This window comes from Homo sapiens, chromosome 2 (genome assembly GCF_000001405.40).
Source record: "Homo sapiens chromosome 2, GRCh38.p14 Primary Assembly".
Lineage (NCBI taxonomy): Eukaryota > Metazoa > Chordata > Mammalia > Primates > Hominidae > Homo > Homo sapiens.
The window spans coordinates 3,374,995-3,397,398 of record NC_000002.12 but is presented as its reverse complement, the minus strand read 5'-3'; the positions used below and the strand labels follow the sequence as shown (position 1 = coordinate 3,397,398).

Sequence of the window (22,404 nt, the reverse complement as noted above, 5' to 3'; positions counted from 1 at the left end):
GCAAGCCCAGAGCTCACACAGGGCTGAAGGGTGCTGACTGTGGGTCTGCCATGTTTAGTGCTCTCACTGAACAGAAGGGGAATTCAGTACAGACTTCAGAAAGGTCACCCAAAAGTAGAAGCTACTGCTCTAAAGTCATTCTAAAAAGTCTAAAAACAAACATGAAACTAAATCTGTAAATAAGTTACTTGCTTGTCAGAATAAAGGGCAAGTCTTTTCAAAGGAAGATGAAAAAGCTAGACACACAACCTGAAATCCACAATGTCCACCTTCTAATAAAAAATTACTAGACATGTAAAACATGTGTCCCGTAACTAAGAGAAAAAGTACATAAAAATAGATGCAGATATTACATAGATAATGGAACTTTCAGATAAGAACTTTTCTTTTCTTTTCTTTCTTTCCTTTTTTTTTCTTTAAAGAGGCCTATGTTGCCCAGACTGGCCTCACACTCCTGGGCTCCAGTGATTCTCCTGCCTCAGCCTCCTGAGTAGCTGTGACTATGGGCACATGCCACCACACCCAGCTCAGAAGACAACTTTAAGGTGCCTCTTATAAATGTTCTCAAGAGTTTAAAGTAAAGCTTGAAAATGATAAAAGAAAAATGATACGAAAAAGAACCAAATAAAAATTCCAGAGGTAAAAAACATGGAAAAGTCACTGAATAGGATTAGCTGCAAACTAAAAAGTCTGAAGAAAAGATAAGTGAACTTAAGGACAGCAGTAGAAATTCTAAACTTAACCACAGAGAGAAAGACTGCAAAATAAAAACACAAAAACAGATCCTCAGTAGCTTCTGTGGCAATATGAAGCAGTAGGTATACCTGGAGTTTCCAGAAGTAGGAGAGAGAAAAAACACAGAAAATACCTGAAGAAATAATGACCCCAAATTTCCCCAAATTGACAAAAATGATAAAGTCTCAGATCCAAAACAGCCAATGAATGCCGAGCAAAATAAACATAAATCCCATGTGAAAGTACATCAGAACCAAACTGCTGAAAAACCAGGGATAAATCATAAAAGCACCCAGAGGAAAAATATACAATTAGGTACAGAGGAGCGAGGATAAGAATTACTACAGACTTCTCATCAGAAACTATGCAAGTCAAAAGACAGTGGGATGGCATCTTACAAGGTCTAAAAAGAAAAAAAAAAAAACCTGTCAACCTAGAATTCTACATACTGTAAATATGTTGTATATTTGGCAAAAATAAACTTTAATAACGAAGATGAGGCTGGGCATGGTGGCTCATGCCTGTAATCCCAGCACTTTGGGAGGCCAAGGTGGGCAGATCACTTGAGGTCATGAGTTCAAGACCAGCCTGGCCAATGTGGTGAAGCCCTGTCTCTACTAAAAATACAAGAACTAGCCAGGCGTGGTGGCTCACTCCTGTCATTCCAGCACTTTGGGAAGCTGAGGTGAGCAGATCACTTGATGTCAGGAGATTGAGACCAGCCTGACCAACATGGCAAAACCACGTGTCTACTAAAATTACAAAAATTAGCTGGGTGTCGTGGCACATGCCTATAATCCCAGCTACTCAGGAGGCTGAGGCAGGGGAATTGCTTGAGCCTGGGAGGTGGAGGTTGGAGTGAGCTGAGATTGTGCCACTGCACTCCAGCCTGAGTGACAGAGTGAGACTGTGTCTCAAGAAAAAAAAAAAAAAATTAGCTGGGCGTGGTGGTGCGTGCCTGTAGTCCCAGCTACTCTGGAGGGTGAGGCATGAGAATCACTTAAACCTGGGAGGCGGAGGTTGCAGTGAGCTGTGATTGTGAAACTGTACTCCAGCCTGGGCGACAGAGCAAGATTCTGTCTCAAAAAAAAAAAAAAAAAAAAGTAATAATTTTGAAACTAATAAAAGCTGCGAGAATCTGTAGCTAGTATACCTGCACCCCAAAATTAAAATTTCTGCCCTTCAAAAGACACCTAAGAAATTGCAAAAACAAGACATAGAATAGTAAAAAAAAAAAAAATTGCAACACATCTATTGTGTATGATAGCTCATTTCCAACCAGGATATTTACAGAATTCTTAAAACACAGTAACAATAAGACAAACATCCGAAGTTTGAAAGATGGAGAAAACGTTTGAAGAGATGCTCTATAAAGATATACAAACCGTCTACATATCAAAGGATTAATACATGAGATCCTTTGTATCAAGTAGTCTATATAACCTCAGTCATCAGAGAAATGCAAAAATCGAAAAAAGTTGACTATACCATGGATACAAAATAATTGGAACTCTCATACGCTGCTGACGGAAACATGAAATACTGTGCCCACTTTGGAAACTGTTCTATTTCTTATAGAGCTAAATGCACATTTATCGTAAGCCCCAGAAAGTATACTATTAAGTTTTTACCCAAGAGAAACGAAAATATATCCACAAAAAAGACTGTACTCAAATATGCTTTCCCAACATTATTTTGCTAAATTACTAATAACAGGATAGAGTGTGAGTGTGTGTGTGAGAGACAGAATATACAACATTATCTCTTTATAATAAGTTCCACCTAGAGAGCCCTTTGTGGTTTATTCTAAAAACTCCCCTACGATTTATAACATAATTTACTAGAAAATGGGTTTCGAACCTACTTACAAGCTGGATAATTCTTACATACGCAGCAGTGGGAATTCAGTTATCAGCAAAGGCTCAAGGCTGGCAGTAATTATGGATTCCAGATTCAAGACTTTTGGTGCTGGAAGGACTCACTGGAGGAGACTCTCAGCCATCCACCAATCTCTGATCTCCCCCCCCTTTTTTTTTTTAACCTCAGACAAAGTGCTGCTCTGTTGCGCAGGCTGGAATGCAATGGTGCAATCTCAGCTCACTGCAACCTCTGCTTCCTGGGTTCACGTGATTCTCCTGCCTCAGCCTCGCAAGTAGCTGGGACTACAGGCGTGCACCACCACGTCCGGCTGTTTTTTGTATTTTTAGTAGAGATGGGGTTTCACCGTGTTAGCCAGGGTGGTCTCGATCTCCTGACCTCATGATCCACCCACCTCGGACTCCCAAAGTGCTGGGATTACAGGTGTGAGCCACCATGCCCGGCCCTCCCCTTCTTCTAGTAACAGAACTTTGGTTTTGCCTGAGCACATGGTCGCCTACCTAAAGACTATTTTCAGCCTTCCTTGCATCTTGGTGTGGCCAAGTGACTAAACCCTAGGTAGTGGGATGTGAGTGGACACACTGTCTTCCAGATGACGTATCATAAAAGGAATACTGCAGAGCTCTCCAGCCTCTCCCTCTTCCAGATGGCTGGAAGACAGCAATGGGAAAAAGCTTCCTGGACTTGGTTGAGGAAGGTAGAGTCAATCCACAGTGCTGGCCCACATATCTCCAAAGTGTTCTACCACCTGGAAATAAACATGTATCCTATTCCAGCCACCATACCTTTGGCTTTCTTTGTTAATGCAGCTGAACCTACAGCGTAACTGACAGACTTACCAAAACCTTTCATTTTACAGAGAAGAAAATAGAGCCACAGATGTTCAATGAATTCCCTTAGGTTACACAGGTTATTGGCAAACCAACAATTTGAAACCAATTCTTCTAATTCAAGGCTCTTCCTAAGCTCACATACTGATCAGGGATATGTCTACGTATCAGGCAACTTCTGGGACCCTGGAGAAGACTGAGCTACTCACTCTTTATGGAACACTAAAGTTAAGCCATTTGATTTCCAGTTCTTTTTTTTTTTTTTTAAATGTGGGTAAATAGAAAAGGCATATTTTTAAATTTTAGAATATTTAGTTGACAAATACAAATTATATATATTCAAGGTATATATGATCATTTGTTATAAATAGACATTGTGTACTGAATTCCAAAGTCGAAATAATTAACACAACCGTCACTACCCATAGTTACTGTGTGTGTGTGTATATGTGTGAGGGTGGTGAGGACACTTAAAATCTGCTCTCATCAAATTTCAAGTAAACAACGCAGTATTACTAACTATAGTCACCATGTTAAATGTACATTCCATCCCCAGCATTCCTTCTTCTTGCATAAATGAAGCTCTGTACCCTTTGAGTAACATCTCCCCATGCCCCTCACACCCCCAGGCCCCAGCTTCTATGAGTCTGACTTCTGTAGATTCCACATGTAAATGAGATCACGTGGTATTCATCATTTTGTGTCTGGCTTATTTCACTTAACCTAATGTCCACCAGGTGCATGCATATAGTCACAAATGGCAAGGTTTCCCCTTGTTTTTTAAGGACTAAATAGAATTCCATTGTGTATATTTTCTTTTCTTTAAAAACATTTTTTTTTTTAAAAAGAGACAGGTCTTACTCTGTTATCCATGCTGGAGTGCAGTGGTGCCATCATAGCTCATTGCAGCTTTGAACACCATGGCTCAAGTGAGCCTCCTGCCTCAGCCTCCTGAGAAGTTGGGATTATGGGCGTGAGCCACTACATACCAAATTTTCTCTGTCCTCTCACCTGTCGATAGGCACTTAGGTTGATTCCCTATCTGGGCTACTGTATAATTCTGCAGTGAGCATGGAGCGCAGGCATCTCTCTGAGATCCCGATTTCAATTCCTTTGGATACATACCCAGAATGGGGGACTGTTAGATCATATGGTAGCTCCATTTTTAACTTTTTCGGGCACCTCCATGTTTTCCATAATGGCTGTATTAATTTACATTCCCACCAACAGTGCACAAGGGTCCCTTTCTCCACACCCTCACCAACTCTTGCTGTCTCCAGAGTTTTCGGTTAACAGCCATGATATCTCATTGTGATTTTGATTTGCATTTCCCTGATAATTAGTGCTGTTTCTAGTTCTTTGACTTAAACAGAGATCCTTCTGAGAGAAATACAATTAGTCATTTTCTATGGTAGGGAGAAATACAACATAAGACAAAGAGGCCAGAACTAAGGCAAAGAGGACCTGTGTTCTGGCACTGGCTCTGCAGTGTTGTGGCTGCATTATCTAGGGTAAACACGCCCATGGGACTCTGCCTGGATCTCTACTGAGCCACAGGACACTGAAATTATCCATTTGCAGGTCTGCCTTCCCTTGTCTAGGCCGTCTGTCCTGGTCTGGGCTGGCGGGTAGGCATTACACCTTCCTTTGTGTCAGGAGAGAGGATGCCTGGGACATGGCAGGCTTGCTGGTGAACACACAAGTCATTCGGATCTGTTTCCTCATCATAAAAGGAGAAACTGGACAGGACCAGAGACCTTTAAGCTTTTTTGAGGAACAGGTGTTTTCCATTCCTTGAAAGCTTTGAGCTCGCTGCAAGGTACTGAGTACTCTTAGCCCTACTCACTAAATGTCATATGCTCACCCCAGCCCTTTTGTCAACCAAAGTGAAACACCTCTCCCCCTTTCCAAATGTACCTAAGACCGTTGGACTGCAGCACCCAGTTGGGAAGCAATAGGTTAAGTCTTTCCTGTGGCAACCTTCAGATTTCCTCTGAGTTACAGTCAGAGGGAGAAGCAAACGGCAAGGCAAGCAACAGAGGGTTTGAAAGAAAGTGCTAAAGGCCAGACCCACAGATGTTAAAGGAATTTTACAGCAGAGAGGACAAAGACCCCGAGAGAGAAGGGAAGAAACATGGAGCAGAACATGAAAGCCATCTTGGGGGGACAGGATACAGAGACAAGACCAGGGAGTGGGAGTACAGGTAAGAATTCAGTGACAAATAAATCCAATCCCACACATCCAAATACCCCTGACATCAGAGTCCGGAATTGGTATTCATTAAAAAGATCCTGCAAAGGTTAAATTATGCTCAGTATATTCTGCCTAAGAGGGTAGAGAAGAATGCCTAGACCAATGCCTGGTCAAGAGTAAACACACAATAAGTATAGTAAATGAATATTAGTAAATTAGTCAATGAACATTCTGGAAAGACTGCCCGTAAAACACCCAAAATACGGATGTCTATAGGCTTACACTTCAGTTATCTGAAAAAATTAATTGGCTTCATTTCTCTAGTATGTCACTTTTCTTTTCCTGGAGAATTCACCACTCCTAGGTCTCAGCCATCTATCAATTCAATAGCAATAGTCACAGTCATACGATTGGCTTATTGGCTTACCTATTTGTGTTCAGGAGTGAGAGTGGAGTGGGTAAGTGGGTTCAGGAGTGGGTAAGTGGTTGCACTAAAGGGGGCTGTAGGTCCTTCTTTCAGTTTCAGGAAGACAGACACGCACAGGATCTGAGGCCAGTAACTGGGAGGTGGGGCGCCCCGTCATGTACAGTGCCATATGGAAACTACTAATCCTGTCCCACAATTTGGTTGCAATAAACTAAAACTGACATGCATATGATTTAATCTGATACATATGTATACATATATTTATAAAAATTTTATCATACTATGCATGCTACATGCTATCTTCTGTCCTGATTTTCAAATTTAACAGTATGAGATGAACCTCATTAAATATTCTGTTTTATATCTTTTTAAAAATAGATTTTACAATTTATTTATATTATTATTCACCAATGATCAGAGGAAGATTTTATTACTTAGAGGACTTTTAGGTTTGCTGCGAAATTAAGCGGGTATAGAGATCTTCCATATATTGCCTGTCCCCCTACACACACAGTCTTCCCCATGATCAACGCACCTCGCCAGAGTGGTCCACCTATTACAACTGATGAATCTACATGGACACATCATTGTCACCCAAAGTCTACAGCTTACATTAGGGTAGACTCTTGGTGTAGCACTTTCCATGGGTTTGGTAAAATAAATAACAACATGTACCCAGCATTAAAGTATCACACGGAATAGTTTCATTGCCTTAAAATCCTCTATGTTCCACCTGTTCATCCCTTCCTCCCCCTAACCCCTGGCATCATTTTAAAAACTTACATAAATATTCCATTGCAAAGATGAGGTGAGTCAAATGTATTCAAGCCTCCTAATAACGGGCTTTTAGATTATTTCAGATTCTTTGCAATTACAAACCACCCTGATAGACATCTCAACAGCTGGTATATGTATAGAAGTATGATTATGTCCTCACAATACATTCCTAAGAGTGGAATTTCTGGGTCAAAGAATATGCACATTTGATACGCATTTTAAAATTTACTTAAATATGTTTGTACTGATTTTGGTCCCATCTGGGCTGCCTTAGAGAGGCTATTTTCCCACACTTCAACAAACAGTAGATCATGATTGATAAATGGAAACGGAAATGACTCGAGTGTGATGGCAGCAGGAGGCAGACAAATCCTAGGCAGACAGGGGCGGTCCCCGGTGAAACCTGACTGGAACTGAAGACAGTTTAAAGCCTAGCTGCAAGTCCCGGATAAACCCACGTAAGGGACTGAGAACCTTTCGTCCCATGTGGAGCACTTTCCTCTGATTGATTACCCCTCTTCACCTATTTTACATATACCTACCCTTCCCCAACTGGTTTTTTCCACTGTCGTGCCCACCTTTGAGTGGTGACTTTGTTTTAGCCTTCTTTTTTGCATACTCACAATCAGCATGCACCCCTCCATTCTGAGCCCAAAAAAGCCCCTGAGCCAGCCACACTGGGAGAGACACCACCTGACTTTCGGTGGGGGACCACCCTCGCCTCCCCTCTCTGCTGAGAGCTGTTTTGTGCTCAATAAAACTCGTCCGCCCTCCTCACACTCTGGTTGTCGGCATAATCTCGTTCTTCTTGGAGGCAGGACAAGAACTCAGGACTCCGCGGAGTGCAGGTACCAAGACAGCAATAACACTGTAACCCTCCATCCCCCACCCCCTTCGGCTGCCCCACTCAACGGGAAGCAGTGGTCTGTTAATGCGCCCGTTTAGAGCCGTTAAGATGCCCGTTAGTCCGGCAGCAGATGCGGGTCGAAAAGAGCTGTGTGCACGCTGTAACATCCCCTCTCGGGCTTCGGGGTCGCGGTTGTTGCTCTTCGGGCGCCACGGTGTTCCCCTCGCCTGGACGCAGGAGTCCACTGTGGGAGTCACTTGCCACACGCCTGGTCCAGCTACAAGCCCCGTGTGAAGCCTGCTCCTATGCTGGCGGTTGGAGCAGCCCCCGGACCCCTACACTCAGTTGCTCGCACAACCCACCTGCTGGGGGCTGAGAGCACAGTCACCGAGGCCACGGGATATGCCAAAGCGCAAGCCAGGTGCGGCCCGGCAGGCCTAGTGGGCGAACCTGGGCCGAGAGAGGCCTGGGCAGGGGCATCGCCGACCACGGAGGTCTCCAGCTGGCAAAGCGGCACCGAAAAAAACCCTGCATCAATTGTCTTTCATTAGTAGTGAGATCGAACATTTGTATGTTACCATTTAGCTTAACATTTATATATTTCTGTGATTTGTTACTTTTTGGGTCACGCGTATTTTTCTTATTCAACCTATAAAAATTCTACATCGGGCACATTATATGTTACAGGAATATATTTTTCCATATTTTAAAGAAAGAAATGGATTTATTATTAACTGGAGTTCAAATGTCAAATGGATTACAGGACATGGAGAACTGACTGAGAGAATTACGGTAGAACTGTCTGCCTTGGTGGTATTTATTTCTACCTCTCTGAGTAGCAGTCCATTAAATATGTTCTGTTGGGGAAACCAACAGATCCCTAATTACCCAGGGACAGAGGAACACAGGCGCTCACAATGGGATGTTAGGAATTACTGAAAACAAGGCCTTCTCCTTCTCCATCCCTAAAGGGGCACTGTGCGTATCTCACAGACGCAGAGAGGAGGCACGGGCTGCGGAGGTGGGAGACCCGGGCTCACCTGGATGTTGTCGAACCTGAGGCCCGGCATGGTGAGGTTCTCCTTGTCCACGAACACGGCGCCGCGCTGCTGGGTGGCCACGGCCCGCAGGACTCCACGCGTAGCCTCGCCGGGAAGCCAGGCGTCGTTCCTCCGGTCCATCTCGCTCATGCTCAGGGCGGTGGCAAAGGGGTCGTCACTCCCTGCAAACACTGCCTGGATGTGCGCGAAAGGCTCTGGCGACGCCGGGGGCGCAGCTGCCTGGGGCCCTCGCATGGCCACGGGTTCGGGGCGCCCCTCGGTCCCGGGCACAGCGAGGGGAGGCGGGCTGGCGGGGGCCGGGGAGCCCGCGCCGGGATTGCTGACGGAAATGAAGGCGGAGGTAGTAAAGGAGTCGAAGAAGTCCGAGGCCAAGGAGTGGCTGGCGGCCGTGTCTCCGAAGAACGTGCTGAGGCTGGGGCTGGGCTGCACGACCTGGGGCGGTGTCCTGGCCGAGGCCTCGCTGGCGCCACCGAAGCTGGGCGACTTCACCATCTGCGGCTCGAAGCCGTCCCCGGAGGCTGGGGGCGCGCGCTGGCTGAAGATGGTGCACACCGGGACCGGCTCCGCAACGGGAGGCTCCTGCTCCGGGCGCGCGGCTTCGCTGCCTGGGACCTCGCGGGCCGCGTCCTGCCTCGGGGCCCCTCCGCTACTGGGTGCCGCGTCCTCGGGGGCACAGTCGCCGTCGGCCTCGCCGCTGGGACTCGGGGTGCCCGCGGGCTCCGGGCCTGGGTCGCCTTCCCCTCCGGGCTCAGCTTCGTCCCGCACTCGGCCCAGGTCGCCCGCGTCGCCCTCGCTGTTGGGGGAGTCAGAGATGAGGACGCTCTCCATCATGTGTTCGTTCAGCTTGTCCGCGAGAGGACTCGAGCCTTCCGATGCGGTCTCGTTCTCTTCGGATCCAAACTCATCTCCGCCAAGATCGATGGTTTCCTCCTGGAAGAGCAACCCCTGCTCCTCCGGAGGCGCGAGCTGAGGGGGGTGCGGGGCCTCCGGGGCCGGGGTCTCCTCGCCGCCGCCAGCGTCCTCCATGACCCTGAAAGCAAAGACAGAGAGAAGGCCCCTGAGCGTGATCTTCATTCACCTCAACCGAAAAATGAGTATTGCTTATAGATTCAAATGACGCAGACTTCCATTTCTCCAGCTTCTTATCCATGTGCTTTTGATTATGGTAAAATACACATAAAATTGACCACCTTAAGTTCAGTAGTGTTAAGTACATCTACATTTCTGTGCAACCAATCTCCAGAACACTTTTTATCTTGCAAAACTAAAATTCCATCCCCATTAAACATTCCCCCGTATACCCATCTCCCCCGCCTAGAGCATCCACCATTCTACTATAAAATAAGTGGAATCACCCGATAACTGTCTTCCTGTGACTGGCTGATTTTACTCAGTATAAAGTCCTCAAGGGCTATTTATGCTACAGCTTGGTCAGAGTTTCCTTCCTTTTTATGGATGAAAAATATTCCATGGTATGCATACACTACATTTTGTTTATCCAGCTATCTGTTGTTGAACACGTGGGTTGCTCCCATCTTTTAGCTATTGTGGATGCTGCTGCAATGAACGTGGCTGTACAAACAGCTCTTTGAGACCCTGCTTTCAATCATTTTGGGTAAATACCTAGAAGGAACTGCTGGATTATATGGTAATTCTATTTTTAATTTTTTTGAGGCACCAAAAAACTGTTTTTCATAGTGGCTGAACCGTTTGTCATTCCCACCAACAGTGCACAAGCCTTGGAATTCACATCCTTGCCAACACTTGTTATTTTGTTTTTATTTCATAGTAGCCATTCCAGTAGGTGTGAGGTTCCAGCCATATAAACACTACTTCATTCTGAGAGTCAGCTAAGTCCCTCCTCTTCCATGAAGCCCTCCCAAGACTCTTCAATTTGTAATAGTCTCTTGACTTCCCCATGCCGTCCGCCCCTACCCCCGCCCCACGCCCCAGCTCATATTATCTGCCTGACTCTGGAAATCTGATACAGTGCGAATGACATGAAAAATTTAAACAGTAAGAAAACAGCACACTCACTAAGCACTGATGGCTGAAGCTGACAACACAACTAGCTAACATTTATCCGCACATACTATGCCCCTGGCTATATATACATATGCCTGTGTGATTCTCAGAACACCCCTCGAGACAGCTGCTATCACTGTCTTCGTTTCGCAGATGAGGACACTGAGGCCTTGGGAGGCTATGTAAGCCGAAATCACACCGCTAGTGAGTGGGGAAACCAGGACCAGCCAAAGAATGAGACAAAGAGCTCAAACTGTAAAAAAGTATTTGTTCTTTTTCTTGAAAAACTTTTACTTTATGTAGTTTTACTCTCATAGTGAACAAATTCAAGTTAAGGAAATCTAAGAGACTATGATAAAAGATAAGGGATTTTTTTCAGAATAAAACAACACGTACCTTTTTTACTTAAAAAATGACACTTAGCTGATCTCTAGATAAGACTACCCTTTTCTCACTGTCAACACTTCCATCATAGTATTCCCAATGAGTCAGCCTTCCCAAAACATTATTTTAAAGTACATAATCCAAGTTATACATTTTGAAGAAGTTTCCGGTTCAGCCTGGTCAGCTACTAATTCCCTTATACATTCATCCAATAATTGTTAAGTATAAATGAATAAAAAATCCAATGAAAAGGAGTAAAACGTTTTTTTTCCTGCCATGTTTCACCGGGAGCCCGAAGAACAAATTGCCCTAGAACCCCAAAGGGGGAGCCCCCTGTGCATGGTAAGGCTGCTCCTTCGGGTCCTTCCTGTGCAGGGATAGAGGCCGGGCACAAGGAGCAAACAGGCAGCATGAGGCAGTGCCCCCTCTGAAGTCTCCCAGCAGGACTTGAAGGCACTAGCGTGGTCTGCGTATTTTATTTTAGAAATAAGAATTGATTTCGATATAAGCTAATGATGAGAGAAAGGGATCTTCCCTCCGTCTCATCTACCCTCAGCCCTAACAAAATTCTAGGTTCTAAAGCTAATTCTGATTCAATCTCACAGATTTTAAAAGTTTTATTGCCTTTGTGAAGAAACTTTTTAAAGAAACAATTCTTACTATTGTGAAGATGAAGCTGCTTTAAACCTGTAAGATTTAGGGAAATCTGTTTATCAGAGATATAATAACAAAAAACATCGCCTAGAAAAACCACCAAAATAATAAAAATTAAGGTAAAATGCTTCTAAATTATAAAGCTTAAAAACTTTATAAATTGTAAATTAAGGAGAACTGATAAAATGGGAATGTCCAAAATTTTCATTAATACCTGCAAACCACTTTTGAGAAGAGAAGAAAATAAAAAAATAAATTTTATTCTTAAGTAAATACCAAAGTAATAAAAAGCCCTAATAATTTAGGGCAAGGATGATCACTTTTGCTTTCACACAAATAAAATCTAGATGCAGGAAAATGCTTGTAAGTAAGGATCTGAGGGTTTCTTCTCTAGAAAATCAAGAGGAATGCTCAAATAAAAATGATATAAAACGTGATTTAGATGATGCTTTTATGAATGGGAAGACATACATATATTATAAAGCTACATCTATATAAATTATATACATAAGATTTTGTGAGAATGGACATATAATTTGTAGCAAAATAGCTTCTTCACTTCAAGGGTTTCCTTACTCTAATCTTATTCCAATGTAAGGTTCAAATGCAAAGCAGACACTAGTAATAACCATGTATATATGACGAGATAGTTCTATAACCATAAAAAAAGTATAACCAGTAGTTAAGTCTTCCTACAAAGAAAATATAGGGTCCAGAGGGTTTACCAGTGAATTCTACCAAAGATTCCGTACAGATAATTCCTACAGTACAAAAATTCTTGCAGAGAAGAAAAAAGACACATGACCCAATTCACTTTATAAGGCTAATATAACCTTGAGACCAAAATTTGACAAGGCCATACTAAAAGGGAAGCTATCATCTCACTCATGAACACACATGCAAAAATCTTGAAATATTAGCTAACTGAATCAGCAATGTATTTATTTTCTACCAAACTCAGGTAATCCCAGAAATGTACTGTTGGTTTAATGCGATAGATTAAATAAAAGTACATGACTATCTCAATAGATGCACAAGAAAGTATCTAATAAAATTCAGCATCTGCTCAAGATAAAACCTGTCAGCAAACTAGCAACAGAAAGTAACTTCCTTAATGCAATCAAAGGTATCTACCAAAAACCTAAAGGAAACCTCAAATTAACAGTGAAACGTTTAAAGCATTCTCTTTAAAAGTAGAAAAAAGATAAAGATGTCCTCTTCAACATTTTTATGCTGCCTAATACTGGAGTCCTCGGGCAGGATTAAGGCAAGAAAAATAACTAAAAGCTACAATAAAAACTGAAAAGAAAAAAATACAAACCTTCATTCTTCGTGTATGATTATTTATGTAGAATACATCAAAAATCTATGGTATAAAGACTGAAATATTGGGCCAGGCACGGTGGTTCAGGCCTGTAATCCTAGCAATTTGGGAGGCCGAGGAGGGTGGATCACCTGAGGTCAGAAGTTCAAGACCAGCCTGGTCAACATGGTGAAACACTGTCTCTACTAAATATACAAAAATTAGCCAGGTGTGGTGGAGGGCGCCTGTAATCCCAGCTACTTGGGATACTGAGGCAGGAAAATCACTTGAACCCAGGAGGCGGAGGTTGCAGTGAGCCGAGATCGCACCACTGTGCTCCAGCCTGGGCAACAGCAGCGAAACTTCATCTCAAAAAAAAAAAAAAAAAAAAAAAAAAAAAAAAAAAAAAAAACAAGACTGAACTATCACAAGGGAATATGTAGCACACATCAAAGGAAGAGACGATTTTCCTTGAGTGATGTGTAGACAAATCATGCAGCTGGGAAAAAATAAACTTGGAATCTTGTCTCACCACAGACACAGTATCAATCTCAGGGACGTTAAAAACTTAACTGTGAAGGCCGGGTGCGGTGGCTCACGCCTGTAATCCCAGCACTTTCGGAGGCCGGGGCGGGCGTATCACGAGGTCAGGAGTTCAAGATGAGCCTGGCCGACATGGTAAAACCCCGTCTCTACTAAAAATACAAAAATTAGCCAGGTGTGGTGGCGGGCACCTGTAATCCCAGCTACTCTGCTACTCGGGAGGCTGAGGCAGGAGAATCGCTTGAACCCAGGAGGCAGAGGTTGTAGTGAGCCAAGATTGAGGCACGACATTCCAGCCTGGGTGACAGAGAAAGACTCCGTCTCGGGCGGGGCGGGGGTGGGGGATCAAAAATTAACTGTGAAAGGCAAAACTTCAAAACTTTCAGAAGAAAATATAAGAGAATATATTTTCAGAGTAGGCAAAGCCTCTTAAACTAGGCATAATCAGTACAAACCATAAAGGGAAAATGGATACATCTGCTATATTAAAATGGAAAGTTCTATCATTAAAAACCTAAAAAAAGTGAAACAAACAAATGTAACTGAGAAAGGATTAACACGAAGAATACATAAAGAATCCCTACAAATTAATAAAAGCACACTAAATGATCCATTAGAAAAATAAGCAACAGAGCTGAAAGAGGTATACCTTTGAACATCCATGTTGAGAAACCACTTGGTATTATCTAGTAAAGTTTAAAAAGCACATTATCTTATCACTTTGATAACTATACATCTTGATTTTTCCCAGAACAATTCAATTTTTCACCCATGGTTTAAGTTATTTCTATTATTTTATTAGTATTATTATTTTATGAGACATAGTCTGGCTCTGTCACCCTGGCGGGAGTGCAATGGGACGATGATGGCTTACTGCAGCCTCGATCTTCTGGGCTCAAGCCCATCCTCCTGCCTCAGCCTCTGGAGTAGCTGGGACTACAGGTGTGCACCACCACACTCAGCTATTTTTGTATTTTTTGTAGAGATGGGGACTCAATATGTTGGCCAGGCTGGTCTCAAACTTCTGAGCTCAAGTGATCCTCCTGCCTTGGCCTCCCAAAGTGCTGAGATTACAGGCGTGAGCCACGTGCTTCGCCTCAGTAAAATCATTAAGTGTCTCCTTTCACTCTTAAAGGAGTCTTGGTTGAGACAATAAATATGTGGTCGTAGTACCTAGGACCTAGCAATTCCACTGCTAGATACCTATCATGGAGGAATTCCTGTACATGAGCAGTGTAAGCTATGATGCTGAATTTCATAAATAACACATCAAAATACCTTTCTTCTAAAGTCCTAAAAGAAAAAGTAGGCTGGGCGTGGTGGCTCACATCTGTAATCCTAGCACTTTGGGAGGCCGAGGCAGGCGGACCACGAGGTCAGGAGATCAAGACCATACCGGCTAACATAGTGAAATGCTGTCTCTATTAAAATACAAAAAATTAGCCAGGCATGGTGGCGGGCGCCTGTAGTCTCAGCTACTTGGGAGGCTGAGGCAGCAGAATCACTTGAACCCAGGAGGCGGAGGTTGCAGTGAGCCAAGATCGTGCCACTGCACTCCAGCCTGGCGGCAGAATAAGACTCCATCTCAAAAAAAAAAAAAAAAAAAAAAAGTGGAAATAAACACTGCCTGTAGACACAATAATAAGTAAATAAGTAGACTGTGGTATACTAGGACATAAAATATTAAAATAGTGGTGAAAATCAGTGAACTCTTCCATATCTAACATATAAATTATGTTTGGATCTCACAAATACAATTTTGCACAAAGAATGAGTAGAAAAATAAACAGCATGACTCTGTATATTCAAAAACATGTAAATTAAACAAAAGTGTTGAATCCAAACACTTTTTCTGTGTTAGGAACACAAACATATTTGGTCAAACTACAAAGAAAAGCCAGGATATAGTAACAGCCACTTTAGTGAGGGAGGGGTGGAAGGTGATGGCAGGAGAGCTTGACTGGGGAGGGACACACGGAAGTTTCAACGCACTGGGAAATGGTCCCCATCTTATGCTGGTAATGGAAGACTGGGTTGACTTGATCTTTAAATCTCACATGTGTGTTACGGGTAGTCTTTATAGTTCATAATTAAAAATGGAAAAACACAAGTATCTGTTCTTGATTTGTACGTGATAGAAATCTTTACTCCCTCCTATCATTGGCTTTATTTTTATTAAACTATAAATAGGATTTTAAGCTTACATAAGCTTACAGAAGCTTTACATCACAGTGCAGCAAAGAAATCTGACTTTCTCCTTGTCCAGTTGAGGGCTTTGCACAAGAATGTGATTAATTAATTGTTTAAAATTTTTTTAAATATTAAATTTAAGTAATTCTGTATTTGAGAAATAAAAAGTTCCTAACAACATTTAAAACTTGGTTTCTCAGGTTCATTTCCTGGACACAGACACTCTGTAAACATATCTTTTACCAAATTGCAGTCATGTAAAATTTCCTTCCATAAGGGCACGAGGGTGTGTAGTGGAAATCTAGGTGGCACGTATTAACAGAAGTCTCCATGTAATGAACACTCACTACAGATCAAGCATTTTACCTTATTATTTAATACTCATCCTAAACTTTTGAAGCATTATTATTACCTCCATCATACAGCAGAGAAGGCCAAGTGATTTGCCTAACATCACACTGACAGTACCTGATGGTGACAGGCTACCCACACAGCGCTTTCTGCCAATACTCTTTTCTTTGTGCTGGTCACCTCTCAGCTCCTCTTGCAAGGTTGCCAGGCAGGGGTGGGCAGAAAGAGCTCTGAAGGCAGTGTCTCAATAACTGTGTTGAGTCTTAGCTTCCCGACCAAGTGAAGTAACCTCTGAAAATCTTGATCTTTTAGATGGTACATCAGAATAAAGAGGATTAAATAGTGGCACCCCTGCATAGGCATCTTTTAAAGTGTGAAGAGCTGCACAGACACAAGCATAGTAATTATCATTTTAATGATAAAGCAGAGTGGCAACACCCAGTTTAGTAACTGTGAAGAAGATCCCATCAGATATCACAAAATGTAAGAACTGAATGAGTAACACTGTGTAATATTTCATTTGCTTTTCCCCTGTCCCTCTCCCACCCCAATCCCAAGACGGGACTGGCTCATTATCCGCCACTATCTTCTGAATTTGCGAACAGTGACTGAATCCAAAGACACCATATCTTCAAGTAGCCATTAAAAAGTACAAACCGTAGGTCCAAGAAAATTTTTCCTTGGGGCTACACTGTTTCGTAGTGAAGAGTGAAAAAATGACACGTTAAAACACATCTTTGACCCTAACGCTTTCTGTTGAATAAACGCTTTTTCGGTCTTCACAGTAAATATACTCTACAATTAGTATGTGTAGCAACAGCGGACGTTTACACAGTGACTCAAATGCTTTTACACTGCATTGCAGCCTCACAATGCTGAGTTTGGCAGGGCAGGTCATTAGTAACCTCTTTCCGCGGGAGGGTGAATTAAGTCTAAGGGAAGTTAAGGGGCTTGCTGGGGGCCTGGCTGGCACCAAGCCTGGAACTGGGGGTCTCGGGGACGCCTGGGCGCGCGCCAGCGGGTAGTTTCCCACACGCTTCGCAGCAGCTTCCCCTTCCCGCAAACTCCGCGGGCTGCAGAGACGCTTCCAGCCCTCTGCAGACGTGGAGAGCAAGGGCCGCGGCGACGTGGAGCCTGGCACAAGGCCCGCGGAGCACACACGCCCTTGGGTGGCAGGCGACCCCGCGCCCGGACCCCACGCCCACTCTAGCATCGGTCCCAGAGAAGGTCCCTCCGGGCTGAGGCCAAAGCCAGTGTGCTCCCTCCCCGAGGTGGCGCTACACGGTCCCATCCCCTCTGGACTGCCGAGGCCCTGATCCTCACCTGCCACCCGCCCACTGGAGCTGGGCTAAGGGGTCACCTGCGGCCGTGACCAAGGTCCGTGAGGAAGGTGACAGAAGCCGGGAATCGGAGAGGAACTGGCACCCCCGGGGAGCTCTGTACGCCTGCGCGTGCCGGGCCGCGGCGCGCCTAGTTCTGCTCAGGCCCGATGCAGGAACCCGAGGCCCTGCCCCCAGGCCGGAAATGGGGTTCGTTTCCGGTTCGTCTGCTGTGGGCGGGGCCTGGAGCCCTAGGTGTGAACGCGCACAGGCAACCAGGAGCCGGTAGTTGAGGGGAGCGGACCCTGTACTTGGAAATGGGAACGGAGACTCCACTCCACCTAGCCTGATTCTGTCACTCAGAGGCAATAGGCAAGCCTGTGGCAGATGGGGCGGGTGAAAGGGAGTCGCTTAGGCTATTTTTATTGACCAGCATATCCTAGAAATCAGTGTTTCTATGGATTTGTCTTTGTGTTTATCTGTATTTTGTAAGTTTCTTACCATGCACCTGCAGTACTTGTATAATAAAATTAATGATAAAGATATCAGTGATAGATGGGTGGGTTTAATCCCGAAGTATGAAGGCCCTCTTAGCTCCGCAAGTTAATATCGGCAAACAGAGTGGTTGAATAGGATGATTCTCATGTCTGGGCCATTGCTTACTTGATTTCTTTCTTTCTTGTTTTTGCTTACTTGATTTCTTTCTTTTCTTTTCTTTTTTTTTGACCGACTCTGGCTCTGTCGCCCAGGCTGGAGTGCAGTGGCGCGATCTCGGTTCACTGCAACCTCCGCCTCCCGGGTTCAAGCGATTCTCCTGCCTCAGCCTCCCGAGTAGCTGGGATTACAGGCGCGTGCCACCACGCTGGGCTAAGTTTCGTATTTTTAGTAGAGACGGGGTTTCACTGTGTTGGCCAGGCAGGTCTCGAACTGACCTTGTGATCCACCCTCCTCAGCCTCCCAAAATGCTGGGGTTACAAGCGTGAGCCACCGCGCCCGGCCTGCTCATTTGATTTCTCATGTAATCTCTAAAATTTCATACACTCAACAGATACTCATCCAGCCTTAACTCAATACCACGCGCCTTGCCCAACTGAGCAAAACGAGACCCAACCATTTCCGTCACGGAGATCAATAAAGGGTAGAGGGGAAAGCTAATCACAGAAATGGAGGAAAGGTGCGTGGTCCTGGAAGCCCCGGTGGAACCAGGCTAGCGGCGTGGTTCAGCTATGATGTATTTTGGAGTCCTTGCGATGCCATTTCTGCTGGCCCAAGGCCAGGGCAGGCACTTTGAGCAGGATGCGAAAGAGGGGCAGTCTCTCCACCACAAGTCTTTAGTCTTTGGAGACCTCTAGGAACCCCAGGGCCTTCCCTTCCGACTCCCATTCGGAGGCATATGCAGTCCAGGACCACCAGTGGTGCGGTGCCGGCTTTCATAACCCCATCCTTGGTAGTGCTTTCTTTGCCACACAGTGCTGGGCACCTGCAGAAATGCATTAGGCATGGCCCTGACTTAGGGCACCTTGGGCCGAACCTAAGGGAGTCAGCTCAGGTGCCCATCCTGGCTACCCAATGGACCAATGAGCGCTGCGACTGTGTTACTCAACTTTGCAGCGTCTCATCGGTAAAATGGAAGTGTAACAGCTTATTCATAGGGTTGGATGAAGCTCCTTATGGCAGTGCGTGTGAAGCGCTGGCCCAGCGCTCAGGAACGCCAAGTACATACAAATGACAATACATGGCGGCGCCCAACTACGGCGTGAGCGATTCTTAGATGCGATGGCTAGCTAAGGCTAATCGCCGCTTGCTCCCGACGGCCTGCGCTCGGAGCCGGCCTCCACCCACAGCCGGCCTCCGCGGCCCGCTCCGCCCACCAACTTATTTCCTCTGGGCCGGGTTCTCACCTCCAGGAGTCCCCGCGCTGAGAGCCCGGATGTGAGCCCAAGTGGCCATGCGCACAAGCCAGCGCCGCTGCCATTGGTCGCTGGTGAGGAACAGATTGATGACACATCCGAAAAATAGGAAGTGGCCACTACGGAAGCTGTTCTGGGCCAGAAAGACTTCCAGTTTGGAGTCGTTTGCTGCGGGGAGGGAATGAATGGGCGCTGGGAACACGCCCGCGAGGTGGGGACGCGCCGGCCGTAGCGAGGTCCTTAGCGTGTGAGTGGCCGGGGTCGGGTCGCTTCCCCGCAGCATGGAGGACGATGCACCAGTGATCTACGGGCTGGAGTTCCAGGTGGGTCACTGGGAGGGCGGCAGGTGCTGCTCGGCCTGGCTGTTGATAGCATGCGCGGTCCCATGGTGACTTCGGTTTGCAGATCTCCCACCAGCCCTGCAAGGACCCGTGTCTGTTCCCTAGTTCCCATTTTGCAGAGAAGTAAACTGAGGCTTTAGGAGGTTAAACGGTTGTACTGGATAACAGGGTTGGCCACAGCCGGCCTGCCTCCTTCCCCTTCACATCCTGTCCCGAACATGACTTCTGACCTGGAAGTTATCACTCACTTTGGTGGACTCATTTATTTACACGCCCACCTTTTCCTCTAGAATTTGAGTTCCTGAAGGTAGGAACTGTATGTTGTTTAAAATAAAAATGTTTGATTTTGAAACAATTTAAAGTATTTAGAAGAGTTGTAAAAATACATAGAAAGTTCTTCTTTACCCTCCACCCAGCTTCCCTTAATGTTAACACTTTACATAACCATCGTACATTTATCACAGCTTAGAAATTAACATTGGTACACTAATATTCAGTAAACCACAGACTGTCTTCGGATTCAACTGTTTTCACACTAGTTTTTTACCTTGTATTTTCCAGTGCCTTTTCATGACTGTCACATAGTAGGTGTTCAACAAATGACTATGAACCGAATGAGCCCCCAGAGCATAAGCAATGCACATGGTAGTTCAGGACAGCAAGAAAGCTGCCGTGGATAGAGTAAATGCGTCAGGGGGAATGAGGTAGGGGATGAGATGAGCGGGGGAGGAAGATGAGGATTGTGTAGGGCCTGTTAGAGCCCTGTCCTGGTTTTCATCTATTCAAGTAGCTTTTGAGAATGTGTTATGCCTAAAGCACTGAGGGACAGATAGAGAGATAGAAACACAGTTCACTGCCATATGAAATACTTGATACATAATTTTGTGCAGCAGTATGTGTTAAAGATATAAATGATGTCTGCTTTTTTTTTTTTTTTTTGAGATGGAGTCTTGCTCCGTTGCCCAGGCTAGAGTGCAGTGGCGTGACCTCGGCTCACTGCAACCTCCGCCTCCCGGGTTTAAGTGATTCTCCTGCCTCAACCTCCCAAGTAGCTGGGATTACAGGCACCCGCCACCACGCCCGACTAATTTTTGTATTTTTAGTAGATACGGGGTTTCACCATCTTGGCCTGGCTGGTTTTGAACTCCTGACCTTGTGATCTGCCTGCCTCAGCCTCCCAAAGTGTTGGGATTACAGGCGTGAGCCACCGCACCTGGCCAATGTCTGTTTTTAAGTAGGTTACAGTCAGAGAGGCAGCAGTGTTAGTAGAATAACATATGCCACCCAGACACCTAAGTTTTAAATCCTGCCTCTAGCACTTATTAACTATGTGACCTTGGGCCTCGGTTTCCTTGCCAATAAAATATGCATCTCCCTCCCCCCCACCTCATGGCTGTTATGAAATTAAATGAGTTAATACACTTAATTGAATCACGTAGAACAGTGCCTGGTGCATAGTGTGTTCAATAATTGTTGTTCTAATTGTTATAATGAGAGAAAATTCCTTTTTTTTCCTTTGTAGAAATGGGGTTTCGCCATGTTGCCCAGGCTGGTCTCACACTCCTGAGCTCAAGTGATCTGCCCTCCTTGGCCTCCCAAAGTGCTGGGATTATAGTCATGAGCCACCGCACCCTGCCTAAGACAAAATTCTTACAAATAAATTTTATACAGGGCAGCAGTTAAGTGTCCTGTATAATAAACTGTGCTATAGGATTTGACCAGTGGCTATATCACATTCACAAGACTGATAGCTTAACTACCAGTGATTTAGCTCTGGACTATGTGTCAGACACTCTGCTTAGCACTGTACAAATATTTCATTTAATTCTCACAGCAATCATTATTGGTAGGTGTTATTGTTCCTGTTTTACGGATGAAGAGACAGCCTCAGAGAGAATAGTTACCTGTCCAAGGCCACTTAACTAGTAAATGATAGACCTTGGATTCTGACCTACTTAGACTTTCAACCCAAACTGACCTCGAGTCCCCTTACCTGCTAAGTTCTACTGCTTTCTCTTTAACTAGATACACATAGGGATACACAGGGAGAGACCACATGGGTAGATAGAAGGTTCTATAATCTTGTACTACCTGAAGATGCATACTCTGCCAGTGCTACTTAATTTAACTTCTTGATCTCCTTAAGAAATCTCTCAAAAAACCCAGAGGATTTTATCTTCAGTATTGTATCTTTGAGGTTAACTGAAATGTTATTTTCTTTTTTTTCTCTCTTTTTTTTTTAAATTATTATTATATTTTAAGTTTTAAGGTACATGTGCACAATGTGCCAGTTAGTTACATATGTATACATGTGCCATGCTGGTGTGCTGCACCCATTAACTCGTCATTCAGCATTAGGTATATCTCCTAATGCTATCCCTCCCCCCTCCCCCCACCCCACAACAGTCCCCAGAGTGTGATGTTCCCCTTCCTGTGTCCATGTGTTCTCATTGTTCAATTCCCATCTGTGAGTGAGAACATGCAGTGTTTGGTTTTTTGTCCTTGCGACAGTTTACTGAGAATGATGATTTCCAATTTCATCCACGTCCCTACAAAGGACATGAACTCATCATTTTTTATGGCTGCATAGTATTCCATGGTGTATATGTGCCACATTTTCTTAATCCAGTCTATC

General features: G+C 44.7%; 2 protein-coding genes across 18 annotated transcripts in view, besides 7 other annotated features; one reads left to right on the top strand and one right to left on the bottom strand.

Annotated features, from left to right (window-relative positions):
* Nucleotides 1-17,705, bottom strand: part of TRAPPC12 (trafficking protein particle complex subunit 12) — a 99,872-nt gene extending 82,167 nt beyond the window's left edge. For 10 of the 15 annotated variants that reach the window (XR_426956.4, XR_007076381.1, XR_001738761.2 and 7 more), the window contains exons 1-2: nt 17,523-17,705; nt 8,729-9,779 (exon numbers count right to left, since the gene is read on the bottom strand). Coding sequence is in view for 10 of the 15 variants with exons in the window: in NM_016030.6 (NP_057114.5) it covers nt 8,729-9,775 (1,047 nt within the window). In the remaining 5 variants the exon portion in view is untranslated. Of the gene's footprint in view, nt 1-7,383; nt 7,714-8,728; nt 9,780-17,522 lie in introns of those variants that run through there. The other 5 variants (NM_001321102.2, XM_047444637.1, XM_047444638.1 and 2 more) reach the window with 3 other exon arrangements.
* Nucleotides 17,685-17,734: a silencer, noted in NCBI's record as "silent region_11109". NCBI's record gives its function as "represses an Ori minimal core promoter by ATAC-STARR-seq in GM12878 lymphoblastoid cells {active_cell/tissue: GM12878}" and the evidence as "EXISTENCE:reporter gene assay evidence [ECO:0000049][PMID:35858748]".
* Nucleotides 18,223-18,739: an enhancer, noted in NCBI's record as "NANOG-H3K27ac-H3K4me1 hESC enhancer chr2:3382431-3382947 (GRCh37/hg19 assembly coordinates)". NCBI's record gives its function as "activates a minimal SCP1, AML or CMV promoter by ChIP-STARR-seq in naive H9 embryonic stem cells {active_cell/tissue: H9 hESC(naive)}" and the evidence as "EXISTENCE:reporter gene assay evidence [ECO:0000049][PMID:30033119]".
* Nucleotides 18,740-19,256: an enhancer, noted in NCBI's record as "NANOG-H3K27ac-H3K4me1 hESC enhancer chr2:3381914-3382430 (GRCh37/hg19 assembly coordinates)". NCBI's record gives its function as "activates a minimal SCP1, AML or CMV promoter by ChIP-STARR-seq in naive H9 embryonic stem cells {active_cell/tissue: H9 hESC(naive)}" and the evidence as "EXISTENCE:reporter gene assay evidence [ECO:0000049][PMID:30033119]".
* Nucleotides 19,298-19,357: a silencer, noted in NCBI's record as "silent region_11108". NCBI's record gives its function as "represses an Ori minimal core promoter by ATAC-STARR-seq in GM12878 lymphoblastoid cells {active_cell/tissue: GM12878}" and the evidence as "EXISTENCE:reporter gene assay evidence [ECO:0000049][PMID:35858748]".
* Nucleotides 19,528-19,577: an enhancer, noted in NCBI's record as "active region_15229". NCBI's record gives its function as "activates an Ori minimal core promoter by ATAC-STARR-seq in GM12878 lymphoblastoid cells {active_cell/tissue: GM12878}" and the evidence as "EXISTENCE:reporter gene assay evidence [ECO:0000049][PMID:35858748]".
* The window catches only part of EIPR1 (EARP complex and GARP complex interacting protein 1), a 188,849-nt gene continuing 186,025 nt past the window's right edge, over nt 19,581-22,404 (top strand). For all 3 annotated transcript variants that reach the window (NM_001330531.3, NM_003310.5, NM_001330530.3), the window contains exon 1: nt 19,581-19,751. Coding sequence is in view for 2 of the 3 variants with exons in the window: in NM_003310.5 (NP_003301.1) it covers nt 19,710-19,751 (42 nt within the window). In the remaining variant the exon portion in view is untranslated. The remainder of the gene's footprint in view (nt 19,752-22,404) is intronic.
* Nucleotides 19,598-19,777: an enhancer, noted in NCBI's record as "active region_15228". NCBI's record gives its function as "activates an Ori minimal core promoter by ATAC-STARR-seq in GM12878 lymphoblastoid cells {active_cell/tissue: GM12878}" and the evidence as "EXISTENCE:reporter gene assay evidence [ECO:0000049][PMID:35858748]".
* Nucleotides 19,798-20,077: an enhancer, noted in NCBI's record as "active region_15227". NCBI's record gives its function as "activates an Ori minimal core promoter by ATAC-STARR-seq in GM12878 lymphoblastoid cells {active_cell/tissue: GM12878}" and the evidence as "EXISTENCE:reporter gene assay evidence [ECO:0000049][PMID:35858748]".